This window comes from Homo sapiens, chromosome 7, assembly GCF_000001405.40.
Source record: "Homo sapiens chromosome 7, GRCh38.p14 Primary Assembly".
Taxonomy (NCBI): Eukaryota; Metazoa; Chordata; class Mammalia; order Primates; family Hominidae; genus Homo; species Homo sapiens.
The window spans coordinates 140353138-140372045 of NC_000007.14; the positions used below are offsets into that span (position 1 = coordinate 140353138).

Consider the following 18908-nt stretch of genomic DNA (forward strand, 5'->3'; position numbering starts at 1 on the left):
AGGTTTTTGAGTAGGTAATATATTCACATGATTCAAGCAACAGAGGAATAAGAGGTACAGTCAAGCTGGGCACGGTGGCTCATACCTATAATCCCAGCACTTTGGGAGGCCGAGGTGGGCGGATCACCTGAGGTCAGGAGTTCAAGACTAGCCTGGCCAACATGGTGAAACCCCATCTCTACTAAAAATACAAAAATTACCCAGGCGTGGTGGCGTACACCTGTAATCCCAGCTACTCGGGAGGCTGAGGCAGGAGAATCTCCTGAACCCAGGAGGTTGCGGTGAGCTGAGATCACGCCATTGCACTCCAGCCTAGGTGACAGAGTGAGACTCTGTCTTGGAAAAAAAAAAAAGAAAGTACAGTAAAAACTCTCCTTCCTACCCCACCTTCCCCATCTGCTCAATTCTCCCGATTTTCCCAACATATAACCATTGTTGTTCATTTTTACTGCCCAGAAATTGTTTTGGAAACATACAAGCTAATACAAGCATATTCTCTTTCATTCTTCCTTCTTACATAAATGGCATTCAATACACAGTTTTGCACCCTTGCTGTCTTCACTTAGCACACTGTTTTGTTTTGTTTTTTTTTTGATACGGAGTCTCGCTTTGTCACTCAGGCTGGAGTGCAATGGCATGATCTTGGCTCACTGCAACCTCCGCCTCTTGGATTCAAGCAATTCTCTGCCTCAGCCTCTGGAGTAGCTGGGATTACAGGTGCCCGTGACCACGCCCGGCTAATTTTTGTATTTTTAGTAGAGACAGGGTTTCATCATGTTGGCCAGGCTGGTCTTGAACTCCTGACCTCGTGATCCACCTGCCTCAGCCTCCCAAAGTGCTGGGATTACAGGCGTGAGCCACCACACCTGGCCCACTTAGCACACTTTTGAGATTGCTGCAGTGCACTGCTATCAGTTCATACAGAGCTTCCTCATTCGACTTCACAGGTGCACAGCATTGCTTTCAACAGGTTTATCATGGTTGAACTATGTCCCTGTTCGCTGACAGTTGTGTTCACTCTTTGGCTATTATAAACAATGCCAAAATAAAGAATCTTGTAGATGCATCATTTGCATGTGTTTTAGTCTATTCATCTGTGTGAATAATTCCTGGAGGTGGAACTACTCAGTGTGCGTAGTTGTAATTTTGACAGACACTTCCATATTGACCCCTCCATGAGTTAGTGACTCTGTTAGTCTTTCAACTGCAATGCCTGTCTCTTCAGGTTCTTAAAAGTACAACATGTTTTCAAACTTTTGGATTTTTAGTCTAATAAGTATACAGTATAGTTTTTCTTCCTTTTTTTTTTTTAAACAACATAGCTTTAATTTGCATTTCCCTGCTAAGTTCCATAAGAACAGAGATTTTTGTCCCTGTTGGTCAGTTCTATATTCTATAGTTCCAAGAGCATATACAGGGAGTTAAATATTTATTAAATGAATAAGCAGTGAGTAGAATATTTTACATATGTTTACAAGCCATTCCTACATGCTTTACATGAGCTATACATTCAAATTCTGTATCTTTCTGTTGTTGGTCTTTTTCTTATCAATTCATGGATGCTCTTTACATATTAGGGGGGATTAGTCTTTGCTTTTTGGTGTTTTTTTTTTTTTTTTTTGAGACAGGGTCTTGCTCCATCACCAAGATTGGAGTGCAGTGGTGTATCTTGGCTCACTGTACCCTCCAGCTCCCAGGCTCAAGCAATCAATCCTCCCACCTCAGCCTCCTGAATAGCAGAGACTATAGGCATACACCCCCACACTCAGCTAATTTTTTAGTTTTTTTGTAGGTACAAGGTCTCATTATATTGCCCAGGCTGATCTTGAACTCCTGGGCTCAAGTGATCCTTCTACTTCAGCCTCCCAAAGTGCTGGGATTACAGGCGTGAGCCACCATGCCTGACCCAGATTAGTCCTTTATCTGTAACATGAGTTGCAAATACTTCTCAACTGGTTATATGTCTTTAGACTCTCCATAGTGTTTTTGTTACGAATAATTTTTTATGTGTTTGAATATATCAGAAGTTTATCTACTTTTAATGAATATATCAGAAGTTTGTCTACTTTTTTTTTTTTAATTAATTTATTTCTGAACAGAGTCTCACTCTGTCACCCAGGCTGGAGTGAAGCGGTGCGACCTTGGCTCACTGCAACCTCCGCCTCGTGGGTTCAAACGATTCTCCTGCCTCAGCCTCCAGAGTAGCTGGGATTATAGGCATGCGCCACCACACCCAGCTAATTTTTGTATTTTTTGAGTAGAGACGAGGTTTCACCATGTTGGCCAAACTGGTCTCAAACTCCCGACCTCGGCTGATCCGCCTGCCTTGGCCTCCCAAAGTGCTGGGGTTATAGGCGTGAGCCACCACACCCGGCCAGAAGTTTGTCTACTTTTAATACAAGCCTTGCCCTATCCAGACACAGTTCTACATAGTTTTAAATGGCCACAGTATTATTTAATACATAAAAAGCAATACACATGTGCACACAGAGAGAGAGAGAGAGCACCAGAGCTAGAAAACAATACCTACCTCATAACCATACTGAAGAACAGAAGAAGCTAGGCACGCTCCCAAAATGTTGCCCACCGAAGCACAGGCACTCCAGAGACCAAAAACAACTCCTCGTCTAAGATGGAAAACAGTGGGAGACAAAGGGCCATGGTCAGAAGAGATACTCTGGGCAGTTCAAAATACAAAACAGCCAAAACAACCAAGGTGCATACTACCAAGACTAAACATGCTATTTAAAAAGTTTTTAAAAATACACTAAAATGGGCTGGGCGCAGTGGCTCACACCTGTAATCCCAGTACTTTGGGAGGCCAAGGCGGACAGATCACCTGAGGTCAGGAGTTCGAGACCAGCCTGACCAACATGGAGAAACCCCATCTCTACTAAAAATACAAAATCAGTTGGGCGTGGTGGCAGGCGCCTGTAATCCCAGCTACTCGGAAGACTGAGGCAAGAGAATAGCTTGAACCCATGAGGCAGAGGTTGCAGTAAGCCGAGATCACGCCACTGCACTCCAGCCTTGACAACAAAGCGAGACTCCACCTCCCAAAAAAAAAAAACAAAACAAAAAAATCCAGAATATAAGGCCCTCAAAACTCAGTAAAATATGACAACAGACAATGCAATAGTATGTTAAAAAGCATGAATCTACAATCATCTCAAAATACAAAGTCTTTGAAAAGTGGGCAAAAGATTTTAATAGATACTTCACACAAAAAAATATACAAAGAAGCACACGAAAAAACACTCAAGTGGCCAGGCGAGGGCTCACGCCTGTAATCTCAGCCTTTGGGAGGCCTGAGGTGGGCAGGTCACTTGAGGTCAGGAGTTTGAGACTAGCCTGACCAACACGGCGAAACCCCGTCTCTACTAAAAATACAAAAATTAGCTGCACATGGTGGCTGCACACCTATAATCCCAGCTACTTGGGAGGCTGAGGCAAGAGAATCACTTGAAACCAGGAGGCGGAGGTTGCAGTGAGCCGAGATCGCACCACTATACTCCAGCCTGGGTGACAGGGCGAGACCCTGTTTCAAAAGCAAAACAAAGCAAAAATGTTTTTAAAAAGATGCTCAACGTCATTAGATATTAGAAAAATGGAAATTAAAGTCACAATGCGATATCATTACACACCTATTAGAATGGCTAAAATCAAAAAACACCAAGCACGCCAAGTGTTGGGAAGGGCACAGAGCAATAAGAACCCTTATGCTCTGCTGATGGGAATGTAAAATGGTACGACCACCTTGGAAGAGACTGCCAGTGTCTTAAAATGGTAAACGCAGCCAGGCGCAGTAGCTACGCCTATAGTCCCAGCACTTTGGGAGGCCAAGGTGGGTGGATCACCTGAGGTCAGGAGTTCAAGACCAGCCTGGCCAACATGGAGAAACCCCATCTCCACTAAAAATACAAAAAATTAGCTGGGCATGGTGGCGGGCCCCTGTAATCCCAGCTACTCGGGAGGCTGAGGAAGGAGAATTGCTTGAACCCAGGAGGTGGAGGCTGAGGTGAGCCGAGATCACGCCATTGCACTCCAGCCTGGGCAGTAAGAGCGAAACTCTGTCCTGGGGAAAAACAAAAAAAAGGGAAATACAAACCTAGCATATGATCCAGCCATTCTACCCCTAGATATTTACCCAAGAGAAATGAAAGCATATGTCCACACAAGGATTTGTACACAAATGTTCCCAGGAGCTTTATTTGTAACCGCCCAAAACTGAAAACAACCCAAATGTTCATCCACAGGTGAATGAATAAACATGAATAAATTTATAATTATGCTGAATGAAAGAAGACACAAAGGCTGGGTGTGGTGGCTCATGCCTATATTCCCAGCACTTCGGGAGGCCGAGGCAGAATAGCTTGAGGCCATGAAATTGAGACCAGCCTGGGCAACACAGACCCTTTCTCTACAGGAAAAAAAAAAAAAAAAGATGACTCAAAAAAAGAGTACATACTGTATGATTCCATTTATATATAAAATTATGGCTGGGTGCGGTGGCTCATGCCTGTAATCCCAGCACTTTGGAAGGCTGAGGCGGGCGAAATCACCTGAGGTCAGGAGATCGAGACCAGCCTGACCAACATGGAGAAACCCCATCTGTACTAAAAATGCAAAACTAGCCAGGTGTGGGGGCACATGCCTGTAATCCCAGCTACTCAGGAGGCTACAGCAGGAGAATCGCTTGAACCTGGGAGGCGGAGGTTGCAGTGAGCCGAGATCGCGCCATTGCAATGGGCAACAAGAGCAAAACTCCATCTCAAAAAAAAAAAAAAAATTAGCTGGACATGGTGGTACACACCTGTAATCCCAGCTACTTGGGAGGCTGAGGCAGGAGAATCACTTGAACCCCGGAGGCGAAGGTTGCAGTGAGCCGAGATCACCCCACTGCACTCCAGCCTGGTGACAGAGCAAGACTCTGTCTCAAAAACAAAAAAGAAAAAAAAGCTCCTTGAAGGTTTAGAGGGAAAAAATACCCCATTTGATCAAGCCCCAAAGTCTGGCGTTCTTCATCTGAGTCTAATTAGAGCCCTTGTTACATGACCTTGGGCAGGTCAACATGAATAACCTTTGACCTTAATTTCCTTATCTTTAATGTAAAAAGGTTAAATAAGATCACTCTCAAAAAAGGGCAGGGAAGGCAAAACCCAAAGGAAGATACATGATGGATAGTAAATGAGATTTTTATGTTCTATAAAGAAACGATGAGTAAAATAAAAAATTGAGACCTCCTGCCTTGGCCCACACTCAGAATCTGCCCACAGCCCAAAGAGTGGTAGGAGTGTGTCTCCTAGGCTGGATGACTTCTAAGGTCCACACCATTTCCAACGCACACTGACGTGAAACCCTCTCTCCCTGAACAACTCTGACTTGCTAACGAAAGATGTGGGTGGTATCTAAGGCAGCAAAGTAACTGACTTTGACAAGTCTGAAAAATCCACCATGGAAACCACTTAAACAGAGAAATTAGAGAGGAAGGAAGTGGCATACCCGGCTTTCCCAAACCAGTTGCCCATAACAGCAACCACACAGGGCCAACCAGTGGACTGCAGCAGGCCGTTCACAATCCACAGGCAGCAGTACAGCCATTTGTTGTAGAAACGCAGCCATTCTGTGAGCGCACCAAAGACAAACACCTTGAAGAGGAGGAAACAAAAGGAATATGTAACAGCCACACTGACACTTTCAGTGGACGCCACTCTACCCACTTGCTTCAGAGTAGAGACCACGTGAAGGATACACTCACACAGCCAGTGCCTGTAAGTCACGTGGCCAGCATCACAAAGGTCCTGCTCAGAGCCACAGTGAGGAGGCAGCCACCCAATCACTGCCCACCAGAGAGGAGGAGATGCCAAAGACATAAAGTCATTAAGCTATCAGCCCTCCAACTGACATCTTCAAGGCTAAAAAGTGAATTCCAGGCCGGGCTCACGCCTGTAATCTCAGCACTTTGGGAGGCCGAGGAGGGCAGATCACAAGGTCAGGAAATCGAGACCATCCTGGCTAACACGGTGAAACCCCGTCTCTAATGAAATTATAAAAAATTAGCTAGGCGTGGTGGCAGGTGCCTGTAGTCCCAGCTACTCAGGAGGCTGAGGCAGGAGAATGGCATGAACCTGGGAGGTGGAGCTTGCAGTGAGCCAAGATCGTGCCACTGCACTCCAGCCTGCGCGGGAGTGCGAGACTCTGTCTCAAAAAAAAAAAAAAAAAGTAATTCCTCATTTTACATGTATTTCCATCTCCTCACCCTCAGACTGTGCATGTGGAGGGAACAGCAACCTCCAGAGGGCTGCTGTGAGGACAGAACGAGCCCAGGGAGGCCACCTTTCCCGGAGCAGTGCCAGGTGCTGCTATGGGCAGAGGCACGGGGCGCATGCCAGCCACTGTTATGGCTACAGCTCCTGAGTTAATCAACGAAAGCGAAACCTATCAAACTTGTGATCTGCTGAATCATTTAGCAGCTTTCATCAAGGGGCTGCTTTTTTCCAGGCATTTTGCTCAAGTGGACATTTTATCTACAGTCAAACTCTATTCTGAGAATACTCTGCATGATTAAAAAATAGTATGTATAATACTGTCTAGTTCCAGTTACAAGACATTCTGGAATAAGTAAAACTGTACACAGAAAAATGATCAGGGGTTGCCAGGGGCTGGAGAAAGAAGGGGCGGTCACAAAACTACTCATTTGTTGAAAAGTCTGAACAATATGCTTAAAAAGGGCAAGTTTATGTACAAACTGCAGTTTTTAAAAAATACATAAAACACAAAAAAGTCTGTACACAGGTTTTAAAATAATATGTTTATTATGTGTGGGTGAGCAACTCATAAATAAATAAAGTGCTTCCATCTCTAAAATGTCAAGGGGAAAAAAGGTTTTACTTACACTCAAATGACAAACACTGAAAAACAATAGTAGGCCAAACGCAGGGACTTGTGCCGGTAATTCCAGTGTTTGCGGAGGCAAAGGAGGGAGGATCACTTAAGGCCAGGAGTTCAAGGAACAACCTGGGCAATATAGTGAGACCCCATGACTAAAAAATTTAAAAATTAGCTAAGCATGATGGTACACACCTACAGTCCCAGCTACACGGGAGGCTAAAATGGGAGGATTGCTCGAGCTTGGGAGTTCAAGGCTGCAGGATCACACCGCTGCACTCCAGCCTGGGCAGCAAATCGAGACCTTATCTCTAAAAAAATAATAATCATAATAAATTAGGGTCTAACTAAACTCCATGGTTTCATTTAATCAACAAAAATTCCTGACTAGAAGCTAGTAAGCAATGACGATTAGTCAGATATGGAGGCTGGGCACGGTGGCTCACCCCTGTAATCCCAGCACTTTGGGAGGCTGGGGTGGGCAGATCACCTGAGGTCAGGAGTTCAAGACTAGCCTGGCCAACATGGTGAAACCCTGACTCTACTAAAAATACAAAAATTAGCCGGGAATGGTGGTGCACACCTGTAGTCCCAGCTACTCAGGAGGCTAAAACAGGAGAATGGCTTGAATCTGGGAAGTGGAGGTTGCAGTGAGCCAAGATCATGCCACTGCACTCCAGCTTGGGTGACAGAGCAAGACTCCGTTTAAAAAAAAAAAAAAAAAGATTAATCAGATATGGATCCTCCCCTACACAGCACTTGTTTCAAATGCCTCACATACAGAAACTCACAGTCCTCACTGCCACCCGGGGAGAGCTAATATGCCCATCTCCCTCTGAAGCTCACAGAAATCATAAGCTAGAAAACCACAGAAGACAGACAGAAACCCAGGCTGTCCTTGTCTAGGGAATCTGTGATTTTAACCACTGCATACCCACCCTAAGGGAAAGCAAGACTGAACCAGAAATAACCAAGCTAAGCGGCAGACTGTTTCAAGTGCCTGCAAAGAAACAGGCACTGCAGCTCAGAAGCGGGACTGACATTCTCAAAGAGGTGTCATTTGGCCAATGCTTGAAGGAGACTGTGAGTTAGACTATGGAGAGCTGAAAAGGGGACCATCCAAGGCAGGCAGAACAGGAGAAACAAAAGCACCGAGATAGAAAGGAGCAGGATAGGGCCAGGTGCGGTGGCTCACACCTGTAATCCCAGCACTTTGGGAGGCCGAGGTGGGCGGATCACCTGAGGTCGGGAGTTCGAGACCAGCCTGACCAACATGGAGAAACCCGTCTTTACTAAAAATAAAAAAGTTAGTCAGGTGTGGTGGTGCATGCTTGTAATCCCAGCTACTCAGGAGGCTGAGGCATGAGAATCGCTTGAACCTGGGAGGTGGAGGTTGTGGTGAGCCAAGATTGTGCCATTCCACTCCAGCCTGGGCAACAAGAGCAAAACTCCGGACACACAGCCTCTCCCTCCCCCTCCCCCTCCCCCTCCCCCTCCCCCTCCCCCTCCCTCTCTCCCTCTCCGTCTCCCTCTCTCTCCACGGTCTCCTTCCACGGTCTCCCTCTGATGCCGAGCCAAAGCTGGACGGTACTGCTGCCATCTCGGCTCACTGCAACCTCCCTGCCTGATTCTCCTGCCTCAGCCTGCCGAGTGCCTGCGATTGCAGGCGCGCGCCGCCACGCCTGACTGGTTTTCGTTTTTTTTTTGGTGGAGACGGGGTTTTGCTGTGTCGGCCGGGCTGGTCTCCAGCTCCTAACCGCGAGTGATCCGCCAGCCTCGGCCTCCCGAGGTGCCGGGATTGCAGACGGAGTCTCGTTCACTCAGTGCTCAATGGTGCCCAGGCTGGAGTGCAGTGGCGTGATCTCGGCTCGCTACAACCTCCACCTCCCAGCTGCCTGCCTTGGCCCCCCAAAGTGCCGAGATTGCAGCCTCTGCCCAGCCGCCACCCTGTCTGGGAAGTGAGGAGCGTCTCTGCCTGGCCCCCCATCGTCTGGGATATGAGGAGCCTCTCTGCCTGGCTGCCCAGTCTGGAAAGTGAGGAGCGTCTCTGCCCGGCCACCATCCCATCTAGGAAGTGAGGAGCGCCTCTTCCCGGCCGCCATCCCATCTAGGAAGCGAGGAGCGCCTCTTCCCCGCCGCCCATTGTCTGAGATGTGGGGAGCGCCTCTGCCCCGCCGCCCTGTCTGGGATGTGAGGAGCGCCTCTGCTGGGCCGCAACCCTGTCTGGGAGGTGAGGAGCGTCTCTGCCCGGCCGCCCCGTCTGAGAAGTGAGGAAACCCTCTGCCTGGCAACCGCCCCGTCTGAGAAGTGAGGAGCCCCTCCGTCCGGCAGCCACCCCGTCTGGGAAGTGAGGAGCGTCTCCGCCCGGCAGCCGCCCCGTCCGGGAGGGAGGTGGGGGGGGGGGTCAGCCCCCCGCCCGGCCAGCCGCCCCGTCTGGGAGGTGAGGGGCGCCTCTGCCCGGCCGCCCCTACCGGGAAGTGAGGACCCCTCTGCCCGGCCAGCCGCCCCGTCCGGGAGGGAGGTGGGGGGTCAGCCCCCCGCCCGGCCAGCCGCCCCGTCCGGGAGGTGAGGGGCGCCTCTGCCCGGCTGCCCCTACTGGGAAGTGAGGACCCCTCTGCCCGGCCAGCCGCCCCGTCCGGGAGGGAGGTGGGGGGGGGGGTCAGCCCCCTGCCCGGCCAGCCGCCCAGTCCGGGAGGGAGGTGGGGGGTCAGCCCCCCACCCGGCCAGCCGCCCCGTCCGGGAGGGAGGTGGGGGGATCAGCCCCCCGCCTGGCCAGCCGCCCCGTCCCGGAGGTGAGGGGCGCCTCTGCCCGGCCGCCCCTACTGGGAAGCGAGGAGCCCCTCTGCCCGGCCAGCCGCCCCGTCCGGGAGGGAGGCGGGGGGGGGGGTCGGCCAGCCGCCCTGTCCGGGAGGGAGGTGGCGGGGTCAGCCCCCCGCCCAGCCGGCCGCCCCGGCCGGGAGGTGAGGGGCGCCTCTGCCCGGCCGCCCCTAATGGGAAGTGAGGACCCCTCTGCCCGGCCAGCCGCCCCGTCAGGGAGGGTGGTGGGGGGGGTCAGCCCCCCGCCCGGCCAGCCGCCCCATCCGGGAGGTGAGGGGCGCTTCTGCCCGGCCGCCCCTACTGGGAAGTGAGGAGCCCCTCTGCCCGGCCACGACCCCGTCTGGGAGGTGTGCCCAGCGGCTCATTGGGGATGGGCCATGATGACAATGGCGGTTTTGTGGAATAGAAAGGCGGGAAGGGTGGGGAAAAAATTGAGAAATCGGATGGTTGCCGGGTTTGTGTGGATAGAAGTAGACATGGGAGACTTTTCATTTTGTTCTGTACTAAGAAAAATTCTTCTGCCTTGGGATCCTGTTGATCTGTGACCTTATCCCCAACCCTGTGCTCTCTGAAACATGTGCTGTGTCCACTCAGGGTTAAATGGATTAAGGGCGGTGCAAGATGTGCTTTGTTAAACAGATGCTTGAAGGCAGCAGGCTCGTTAAGAGTCATCACCACTCCCTAATCTTAAGTACCCAGGGACACAAACACTTCGGAAGGCCGCAGGGTCCTCTGCCTAGGAAAACCAGAGACCTTTGTTCACTTGTTTATCTGCTGACCTTCCCTCCACTATTGTCCTATGACCCTGCCAAATCCCCCTCTGCGAGAAACACCCAAGAATGATCAATAAAAAAAAAATAAATAAAAAAATAAAAAAAAAAGAGCAAAACTCCGCCTCAAAAAAAAAAAAAAAAAAAAAAAAAGAAAGGAGCGGGATGTTAGCGGCCTGGAAAGCAGTCCAGCTTGGCTGGAGCAAAGCGATGAAGCAGAGTGACAAATATGATGGGAAGGCAGGCTGGGGCCAGGGTGTAGTGAATGCCAGGCCATTTATTCAGACTATTAATTAACTCTGCTGGTGCCTGAGGGACAACAAAGGAACCTGATTAGAATCTTACTTTAAAAAGACTCATCTGGCCAGGCGCAGTGGCTCATGCCTGTAATCCCAGCACTTTGGGAGGCCAAGGCAGGAGGATCACCTGAGGCCAGGAGATAAGACTGGCCAACATGGTGAAACCCCGTCTCTACCAAAAATACAAAAATCACCCAGGCGTGGTGAGCTGTACCTATAGTCCCAGCTGCTCAGGAGGCTGAGGCAGCAGAATCGCTTGAACATGGGAGGCAGAGGTTGCAGTGAGCTGAGATCGCACCACTGCACTCCAGCCTGGGGTAATAGAGCAAGATTCTGTCTCGGGGGGGAAAAAAAAGACTCATCTAAGTGAAAAGGCAAATGAGGGATTCGAACAATGAGGATTAATCTTACTATTCTATTCTACAGAGAAGTAGGGAGATTACTTAGATTCTAAAATACCTGACCAAAATAATAATAATAAGACCTTTCAACTTACCACTAATGCAGAAGAGCACATGCCAAAAGACAGAACCCATCGCAAATTCAACCGATCCCCAACGATGCCACTGATGAATAGGCCCTAAAAATAAAGCATTTTCTTTTACAGCTCTAAATAATAACACAGTATGAAAAAGTAACATGCACTGCAAAGCAAATGAGACAAACACAGATATTATTTAAAATTAACTCTTATACACATGCCGAGGCTACCTGTCTACAGGAGTTTCACAAATGTTTCATGAAATGGCAGTGGGCTGGATAACATGGTCAGTAATACAGTGAAAACAAAAAAGTTATGAAAATAGAAGGAAAAAAATATTAAAAAAAAAAAGAAATGGCAGCGGGCACACTCTACCACAAACACACCAAAGTTCAGGGCAAACTTTGGTTTTACTTGATTCCCTAACTGGAAAAAAATAAATAAATAAGAATGACTCTAATAAAACAAGCACACAAATATACTTCATTTTCTAGACTAGATTAATTCCTACCCATCAGTGATAAGCTATCCCAAAGGGATTCCTCTTAGCCATCTGCACTCTGGGTTAACGTGTTACCACACGCCCTGCAGTTTCAGTTCCAACCTTGTAAAAAGTGGAATAGAAGGTTCCAGGGCACACTAGCTGCCTGTTGAATCTGACCCTTGGGTTTCATGACATCCCAAGGCAGGGAGAGTAGGAAGGCAGAGACAATAATTAGCTGGAGACAGGTTCTGCCTTCTGCTCTCCTCCCACTGAGTGGCAGGAATTAAAATGCTGAGATCATGGCAGGAAGTGAGACTGAAGACCTTAAGCGCAGCACACTTTAGGTTTCTTCCATAAATATATAAAATATCTTGACTGAAAACCTAAATTCAGTTAGGACCAGGTGTTTCTAATAAATTGACTATCTCTAAAACTTGGCTGGGCGTGGTGTCTCACGCCTGTAATCCTAGCACTTTGGGAGCGGGGAGAATTGCTTGAGGCCAATAGTTCAAGACCAAACTGGCCAACATAGCAAGAACCCATCTCTAAAAAAAAAAAAATTGGCCGAGTGCAGTAGCTCACACCTGTAATCCCAGCACTTTGGGAGGCCAAGGCAGGTGGATCACCTGAGGTGAAGAGTTCAAGACCAGCCTGACCAACATGGTGAAACCCTGTCTCTACTAAAAACAGAAAAATTAGCCAGGCATGGTGGCTTGCGCCTGTAATCCCAGAAACTTGGGAGGCTGAGGCAGGAGAATCACTTGAACCCAGGAAGCGGGGCTTGCAGTCAGCCGAGATGGCACCACTGCACTCCAGCCTGGGCGATAGAGTGGGACTCCATCTCAAAAAAAAAATGAGAAGATAAATTTAAATATGAACGTTTCTCCCTCATTATCATCAAGCTTCCTCATCTTAAGAGAAGCATGTCAGCCTTAAAGTAGATTCTATGTTGTCTAGCTGCCCCTCATATGGACTTATGCTACACAGAACAAAAGGGATGAAGAAAATCTCAATTCTGCTTCAGATGACAGAACAATACATGCTTTTTTTTTTTTTTTTTTTTTTTTTTTTTTTTTTTTGAGACAGAGTCTCACTCTGTCATCCAGGCTGGAATGCAATGATGTGATCTTGGCTCACTGCAGCCTCTGTCTCCTAGGTTCGAGCAATTCTCCTGCCGTAGCCTCCCGAGTAGCTGGGACTACAGGCCTGCCAATTTTTGTTTTTTTAGAGATGGGTTCTTGCTATGTTGGCCAGTTTGGTCTTGAAGTATTGGCCTCAAGCAATTCTCCCCACTCCCAAAGTGCTAGGATTATAGGCGTCAGACACCACGCCCAGCCAAGTTTTAGAGATAAGTCAATTTATTAGAAACACCTGGTCCTAACTGAATTTGCCTGGCTAATTTTTGTATTTTCAGTAGAGATGGGGTTCTGCCATGTTGGCCAGGCTGGTCTCAAACTCCTGACCTCAGGTGATCTGCCCTCCTTGGCCTCCCAAAGTACTGGGATTACAGGCGTGAGCCACCGTGCCCCACCAGAATCAATACATTCTGTTTTGCTGCAGAAAGCAAAATGCCCATAAGTTACAGAAGGAAGTGCAGCTCAAGATAAAAAAAAAACCATGACCATTGATTTTTCATGGCATTGATCCTTTATGTCCTAAATCTAGTCCTATAGATGACTCCATAGATGAGGAAACTAAACACCAAAAAAAGGTTAAATTCTACTTCGCAACCAAGTTTAACACAGCTAGTTAGACTACACTGCCTCTTAAACTGGTCCCTGAAAGAAATGAGTGGCTCGAAGAGAAGCGAGCACCCTGTCACCAGCTCCAGCCAAAGCCCCGTGCCTCTACATGGGGATTTTATACAGAAAATACCCAAGGTGAGGAGGTAGACTAAATGAATGACCAAAGAACTGTTCCAACTGTTTCTCTGTTTCCTCTTTGAAGAAAAGATACTCTTAATAATTAACCAAATAGGCTGGGCGCAGTGGCTCACACCTGTAATCCCAGCACTTTGGAAGGCCGAGGTGGGCGGATCATTTGAGGTCAGGAGTTTGAGACCAGTCTGACCAACACGGTGAAACCCCATCTCTACTAAAAATACAAAAAAAATTAGCAGGGCATGGTGGCACATGTCTGCAGTCCCAGCTACTCAGGAGGCTGAAGCAGCAGAATTGCTTGAACCCAGGGGGCAGAGGTTGCAGTGAGCCAAGATTGTGCCACTGCACTCCAGCCTGGGCAACACAGCAAGACTCCATCTCAAATAAAAAAAAAAATAGGCCAGGCATGGTAGCTAACGCCTGTAATCCCAGCACTTTGGAAGGCAGCGGTAAGTGGATCAACTGAGGACAGGAGTTTGAGACCAGCCTGGCCAACACGATGAAACCCCATCTCTACTAAAAATACAAACATTAGCTGGGCATGATGGTGTGCACCTGTAATCCCAGCTACCCAGGAAGCTGAGGCAGGAGAATCACTGGAACTAGGAGGCGGAGGTTGCAGTGAGCTGAGATAGCACCATTGCACTCCAGCCTGGGCAAGAGAGCAAGACTCCGTCTCAAAAAATAATAATACAATAAAATTAAATAAATAAATAAAAATAACTAACCAAATAAACATTTAGAAACTACTTCAGAACTTTTACCCAGTATTTCACATTGCCTGGACATTGAGAATTAAAAGGCGTTTTTAATAAGGCACACTTAAAGACAGAAATAAGGCATACTTAAAGACAGCATCTTATATGCTGGGGAGAAAAGGAAGGCTCCTCTCACAGTCCACGTTCCAGCTGCTGCCACCATCAGCTCCAGAACTCTAATGTGGCATCCACCACAGCTGTTCCTACAGCCAGACAGAGACGCCAGCTGCCTATCCTGACGCTGAATTACTCCTCGCCACCGTGGAATGTCTCCCAGGGTGCTACCTCTCCAGGATCCCACCTTCCTTTTTTTTTTTTTTTTTGAGATGGAGTCTCATTTTGTCATCCAGGCTGGAGTGCAGTGACGCAATCTCGGCTCACTGCAACCTCCTCCTCCCGGGTTCAAGCAATTCTTCTGCCTCAGCCTCCCAAGTAGCTGGGACTACAGGCACCCACATCTGGCTAATTTTTGTATTTTTATTGGAAATGGGGTTTCTTCATGCTGGCCAGGATGGTCTCAAACTCCTGACCCCAAGTTATCCACCTGCCTCGGTCTCCCAAAGTGCTAGGATTACAGGCGTGGGCCACCGCGCCCAGCCCCACCTTTCTTACCACTCCACCCCCGCTACCTGGCCCATTCCTCACCCACCTCTGAGGACTGGAAGCCCTAGGGCTCAGGTTTCACACCTCTTCCCCGCCCTCGCCTGTTCTCTTGATCAATTCACGCAGCCTCACAGTTTTGATCTATAAATCATCTAAAGGCCAAGGACTCCGAGCGCAGTGGCTCACGCCTGTAATCCCAGCACTTTGGGAGGCCGAGGCAAGCGGATCGTCTGAGGTTGGGTGTTCCAGATCAGCCTGACCAACATGGAGAAACTCGGTCTCTACTAAAAAAACACAAAATTAGCCGGGCGTGGTGGCGCATGCCTGCAATCCCAGCTACTCAGGAGGCTGAGGCAGGAGAATTGCTTGAACCCGAGAGGTGGAGGTTGTGGTGAGCCAAGATTGTGCCATTGCACTCCAGCCTGGGCGACAAGTGCAAAACTCTGTCTCAAAAATAAAAAATTAAAAACATAATAATAATAATAAAGGCCAAGGACTCCAAAAACATGTATCTTCAGACTGAACCTACACCTTGAACTCCACACTCAATGACCAAGTGTCTGCTCTTCATCATCTGGGCAGCAGAGGTCAAATGTAATGCATCCAAAAGCGAGTCATCAAAGCTTTCTATCTCCCCAGTCTCCCCTCTGCCATGACACTTCCACCCTGGAGGTGTTCTTGACACATTTCTCTTACATTCCACATTCAAGAGGGAAAAAATATTATTGGCTTTACCTCCAAAACACCGCTAAAATCTACTTCCCCCCAACCTCTATTACTGTTGCGCTGGACCCAAGTCACCATCATCCTTCACCTCAAAAGAACTCGGCTCCCAGAGCAAGTGCACCTATCCAAACCTAAGTCAGGTCCTGCCGCTGCTCTGCACAAAACCTTCCAGCAGCTCCCATCTCACTCAAGGTTAAAGCCAAAGCCGCCCCAAAGGTACCAAAACCCTACAGATCTGAGCCCCACCGCATCTCTGGCCTCTCTTCTTGCAGCTCTGATCCAAGCACACCGACTCGCTCACCTGCTCAGGTCTTCACTCAAATGCCCGCTGCCTCCTGAGGTCTCCCGGCTGTGCTACTTAAAATTACAACCTCACCCAGGCCCCTTTAGTCCCCCTTCTCTGCTTTATTTTCCTCCGTTGTACTTACCACCTTCAAATATACTCTATAATTTATTTGTAGCATTTGGTTACTGTCTGTCTCCCCTAACTCCAAGAATACAGGTCCATAAAGGCAGGGCATTTTGTGTTGTTCGGGATAAATTCCCATTGACATATGCTAGATGAGCAATAAATATCTGTCGAATGAATGAATAAATGAATGGGAAGAACAAACAATATAAACTTCAGAAATACTGAACTCTGCCTCAGTCAGCAAATTCAAAATCCCTTACAAATTTTGTAAGGCTCAGGGTCATTTATATTTACATTTTTCTTTAGCTTTAAGCCCTAGAGTTCCAAAACTTACCACAGCATAGGAGAAGAGGAAAATGGTATCCAGTGTGCCGAGGAAAAGAGTCGCTTTCTCTGCACTGGGGAACAAATGGTTGCTGCTCCAGATCTACAGTAAGACAGCAGGAACAGGTCAGTCCCTGTAGAATCTGCCAGGGCTTTCTGTTTCCCAAAGCCCCTTCACAAACACTTCCAAAGCACCAGTAATGCTCAAGAACAACTTTTACTTCAAATGTATTTAGAAATAACTAGTATAGCCGGGCACAGTGGCTCACGCCTGTAATCCCAACACTTTGGGAGGGCAAGGAGGGCAGATCACCTGATATCGGGAGTTCGAGACCAGCCTGACCAACATGGAGAAACCCTGTCTCTACTAAAAATACAAAATTAGCCAGGCATGGTGGCACATGCCTGTAATCCCAGCTACTCAAGAGGCTGAGGCACAAGAATTGCTTGAACCCAGGAGGCGGAGGTTGTGGTGAGCAGAGATTGCACCATTGCACTCCAGCCTGGGCAACAAGAGCGAAACTCCGTCTCAAAAAAACAAAAAAGAAAAGAAAAGAAAGAAATAACTAGTTTTTTTTTTTGCTTTTATTATTTTTAATTGACACATAGTAATTGTACATATTGAGGGAGTACAGTGTGATAGTTCAACATATATTCAACATGTCATGATCAAATAAGGGCAATTAATGTATCACCTCAAATGTGTATCATTGGAATGCTCAAATGCTAGTGACGAAGTCTTAAGTGAGAAAGTGGGGCAGTAAGTTTAAAAGCAGACATTTAGAAGAAATAAATTCTGATGATAATCTTTTTGTTTGGCAGAATCCAATATCCAATTAATTCGAAATTATGCCTACCATCTAGGGCCATACCACCCTGAAAGCACGCGATCTCATCTGATGTGGAAAGTTAAGTGGGGTCAGGCCTGGTTAGTACTTGGATGGGAGAAATTATGTCTAACTCCATCTAAGGAAACATTTTACAATACTCTTCAAAAACAATTTCCTCCAGTCAGTGGTTGCCTAGGGCTGACTAAAAAGGGGTACAAGAGAATCTGGGGGATGATGTTCTATATCTTGGAATAGTTACAACACTATATGTGTTTGTCAAAAATTGTAGAACTGAATACTAAAAAGGTAACTAAAATTCACATCTTAATTTTTAAAATGATAAAAAGTGTCCTTCATTAACCTACTTCAATTAAATCACAATGTCTTGCCAACTTTATTATCCTTCTAGTCTGGTACTCAGAAAACTTATAATCCCAACTCTAGTCCTAAGTATTTGTTGCCCTAGAGAGGCCACTCATCCTAATACTTCTCAACTTCTTCATAGGCACACATAGAAAACGATCTTTGTATAACACACTGGAGTAAACTGAAGAAGCTGTTCAAGGTCAGAGTTGATTGGCCTGGGAATATCCACCAGTCTAAAATCAGGAGGAGGCCATCCCAAGCCCCACCTAGCAACCCCAGGAGCTTAGGGAAGGGAGATTGCAGCCCAACTACAACCCATTCACGACAAAGCAGCTGAGCAGCTCTCACAGCACCTCAGTGGCCAGTCTGCAGAACCACAAAACGAATTCTTTCTATTTTTATTTATTTATTTATTTTTGAGACAGAGTCTCACTCTGTTGCCCAGGTTAGAGGGCAGTGGCACAATCTTGGCTCACTGCAACCCCCACCTCCTGGGTGCAAGTGATTCTCCTGCCTCAGCCTCCCTCAGCTGGGATTACAGGCACGTGCCACCACGCCCAGATAATTTTTGTATTTTTAGTAGAGACGGGGTTTCGCCATGTTGGCCAGGATGGTCTCAATCTCCTGACCTCGTGATCCACCTGCCTCCGCCTCCCAAAGTGCTGGGATTACAGGCGTGAGCCACCGTGCCCGACCGAGAGCTACGTTCTTTCTAACTGCAAAATGCCATGTATGATTCCGCAGGATGTTTATATTCTTCAGCTGTGTTTAAATCCAGTTTTTAAAATTCCTTTAGAATAAGAACCAAGTCTTACACATATTTATACAGGGTCTAACAGTGAAAAGAACCCATGGTTATTTTGTCAATATCTTTTGTAATGAATTAAATAATGTCCATTCATTTTCATTTTAAAGAAAGATGAGCAGGATATATGAAACCAGGCCATGAGAGGAACCACTGAAGGAAATGGAAATACAAATTTATGCTGAAAAAAAGAGACACAAGGAATCTGTGAAAAATTATCCTCAACTTTATCTAGGGCCAGCAGTGGAAAAGAGATCTGAGTTAGTTTACAGAACTTTTTTTTTTTTTGGAGACGGAGTCTCGCTCTGTTACCCAGGCTGGAGTGCAATGGCACGATCTTGGCTCACTGCAACCTCCGCCTCCTGGGTTCAAGTGATTCTCCTCCCTCAACCTCCTGAGTAGCTGGGATTACAGGCGCCCACCACAACACCCAGCTAATTTTTGTATTTTTAGTAGAGACGGGGT

At 47.4% G+C, this 18908-nt stretch overlaps 1 protein-coding gene and 1 pseudogene across 17 annotated transcripts in view, besides 4 other annotated features; one reads left to right on the forward strand and one right to left on the reverse strand.

Moving 5' to 3' along the window:
• SLC37A3 (solute carrier family 37 member 3) overlaps nucleotides 1-18908 on the reverse strand; it is a 64779-nt gene that overhangs the window by 19386 nt on the left and 26485 nt on the right. For 13 of the 17 annotated variants that reach the window (NR_156492.1, NR_156491.1, NR_156490.1 and 10 more), the window contains exons 4-7: nucleotides 16453-16545; nucleotides 11271-11354; nucleotides 5503-5648; nucleotides 2531-2627 (exon numbers count right to left, since the gene is read on the reverse strand). Coding sequence is in view for 13 of the 17 variants with exons in the window: in NM_001363377.1 (NP_001350306.1) it covers nucleotides 2531-2627; nucleotides 5503-5648; nucleotides 11271-11354; nucleotides 16453-16545 (420 nt within the window). In the remaining 4 variants the exon portion in view is untranslated. The remainder of the gene's footprint in view (nucleotides 1-2530; nucleotides 2628-5502; nucleotides 5649-11270; nucleotides 11355-16452; nucleotides 16546-18908) is intronic. The other 4 variants (XM_047420950.1, XM_047420949.1, XM_047420947.1 and 1 more) reach the window with 1 other exon arrangement.
• Nucleotides 6465-6514: an enhancer, noted in NCBI's record as "active region_26778". NCBI's record gives its function as "activates an Ori minimal core promoter by ATAC-STARR-seq in GM12878 lymphoblastoid cells {active_cell/tissue: GM12878}" and the evidence as "EXISTENCE:reporter gene assay evidence [ECO:0000049][PMID:35858748]".
• Nucleotides 10076-10939: an enhancer, noted in NCBI's record as "NANOG-H3K27ac-H3K4me1 hESC enhancer chr7:140063013-140063876 (GRCh37/hg19 assembly coordinates)". NCBI's record gives its function as "activates a minimal SCP1, AML or CMV promoter by ChIP-STARR-seq in naive H9 embryonic stem cells {active_cell/tissue: H9 hESC(naive)}" and the evidence as "EXISTENCE:reporter gene assay evidence [ECO:0000049][PMID:30033119]".
• Nucleotides 14612-15113: an enhancer, noted in NCBI's record as "H3K4me1 hESC enhancer chr7:140067549-140068050 (GRCh37/hg19 assembly coordinates)". NCBI's record gives its function as "activates a minimal SCP1, AML or CMV promoter by ChIP-STARR-seq in naive H9 embryonic stem cells {active_cell/tissue: H9 hESC(naive)}" and the evidence as "EXISTENCE:reporter gene assay evidence [ECO:0000049][PMID:30033119]".
• Nucleotides 15114-15613: an enhancer, noted in NCBI's record as "H3K4me1 hESC enhancer chr7:140068051-140068550 (GRCh37/hg19 assembly coordinates)". NCBI's record gives its function as "activates a minimal SCP1, AML or CMV promoter by ChIP-STARR-seq in naive H9 embryonic stem cells {active_cell/tissue: H9 hESC(naive)}" and the evidence as "EXISTENCE:reporter gene assay evidence [ECO:0000049][PMID:30033119]".
• RNA5SP247 (RNA, 5S ribosomal pseudogene 247) lies at nucleotides 17304-17408 on the forward strand (annotated as a pseudogene).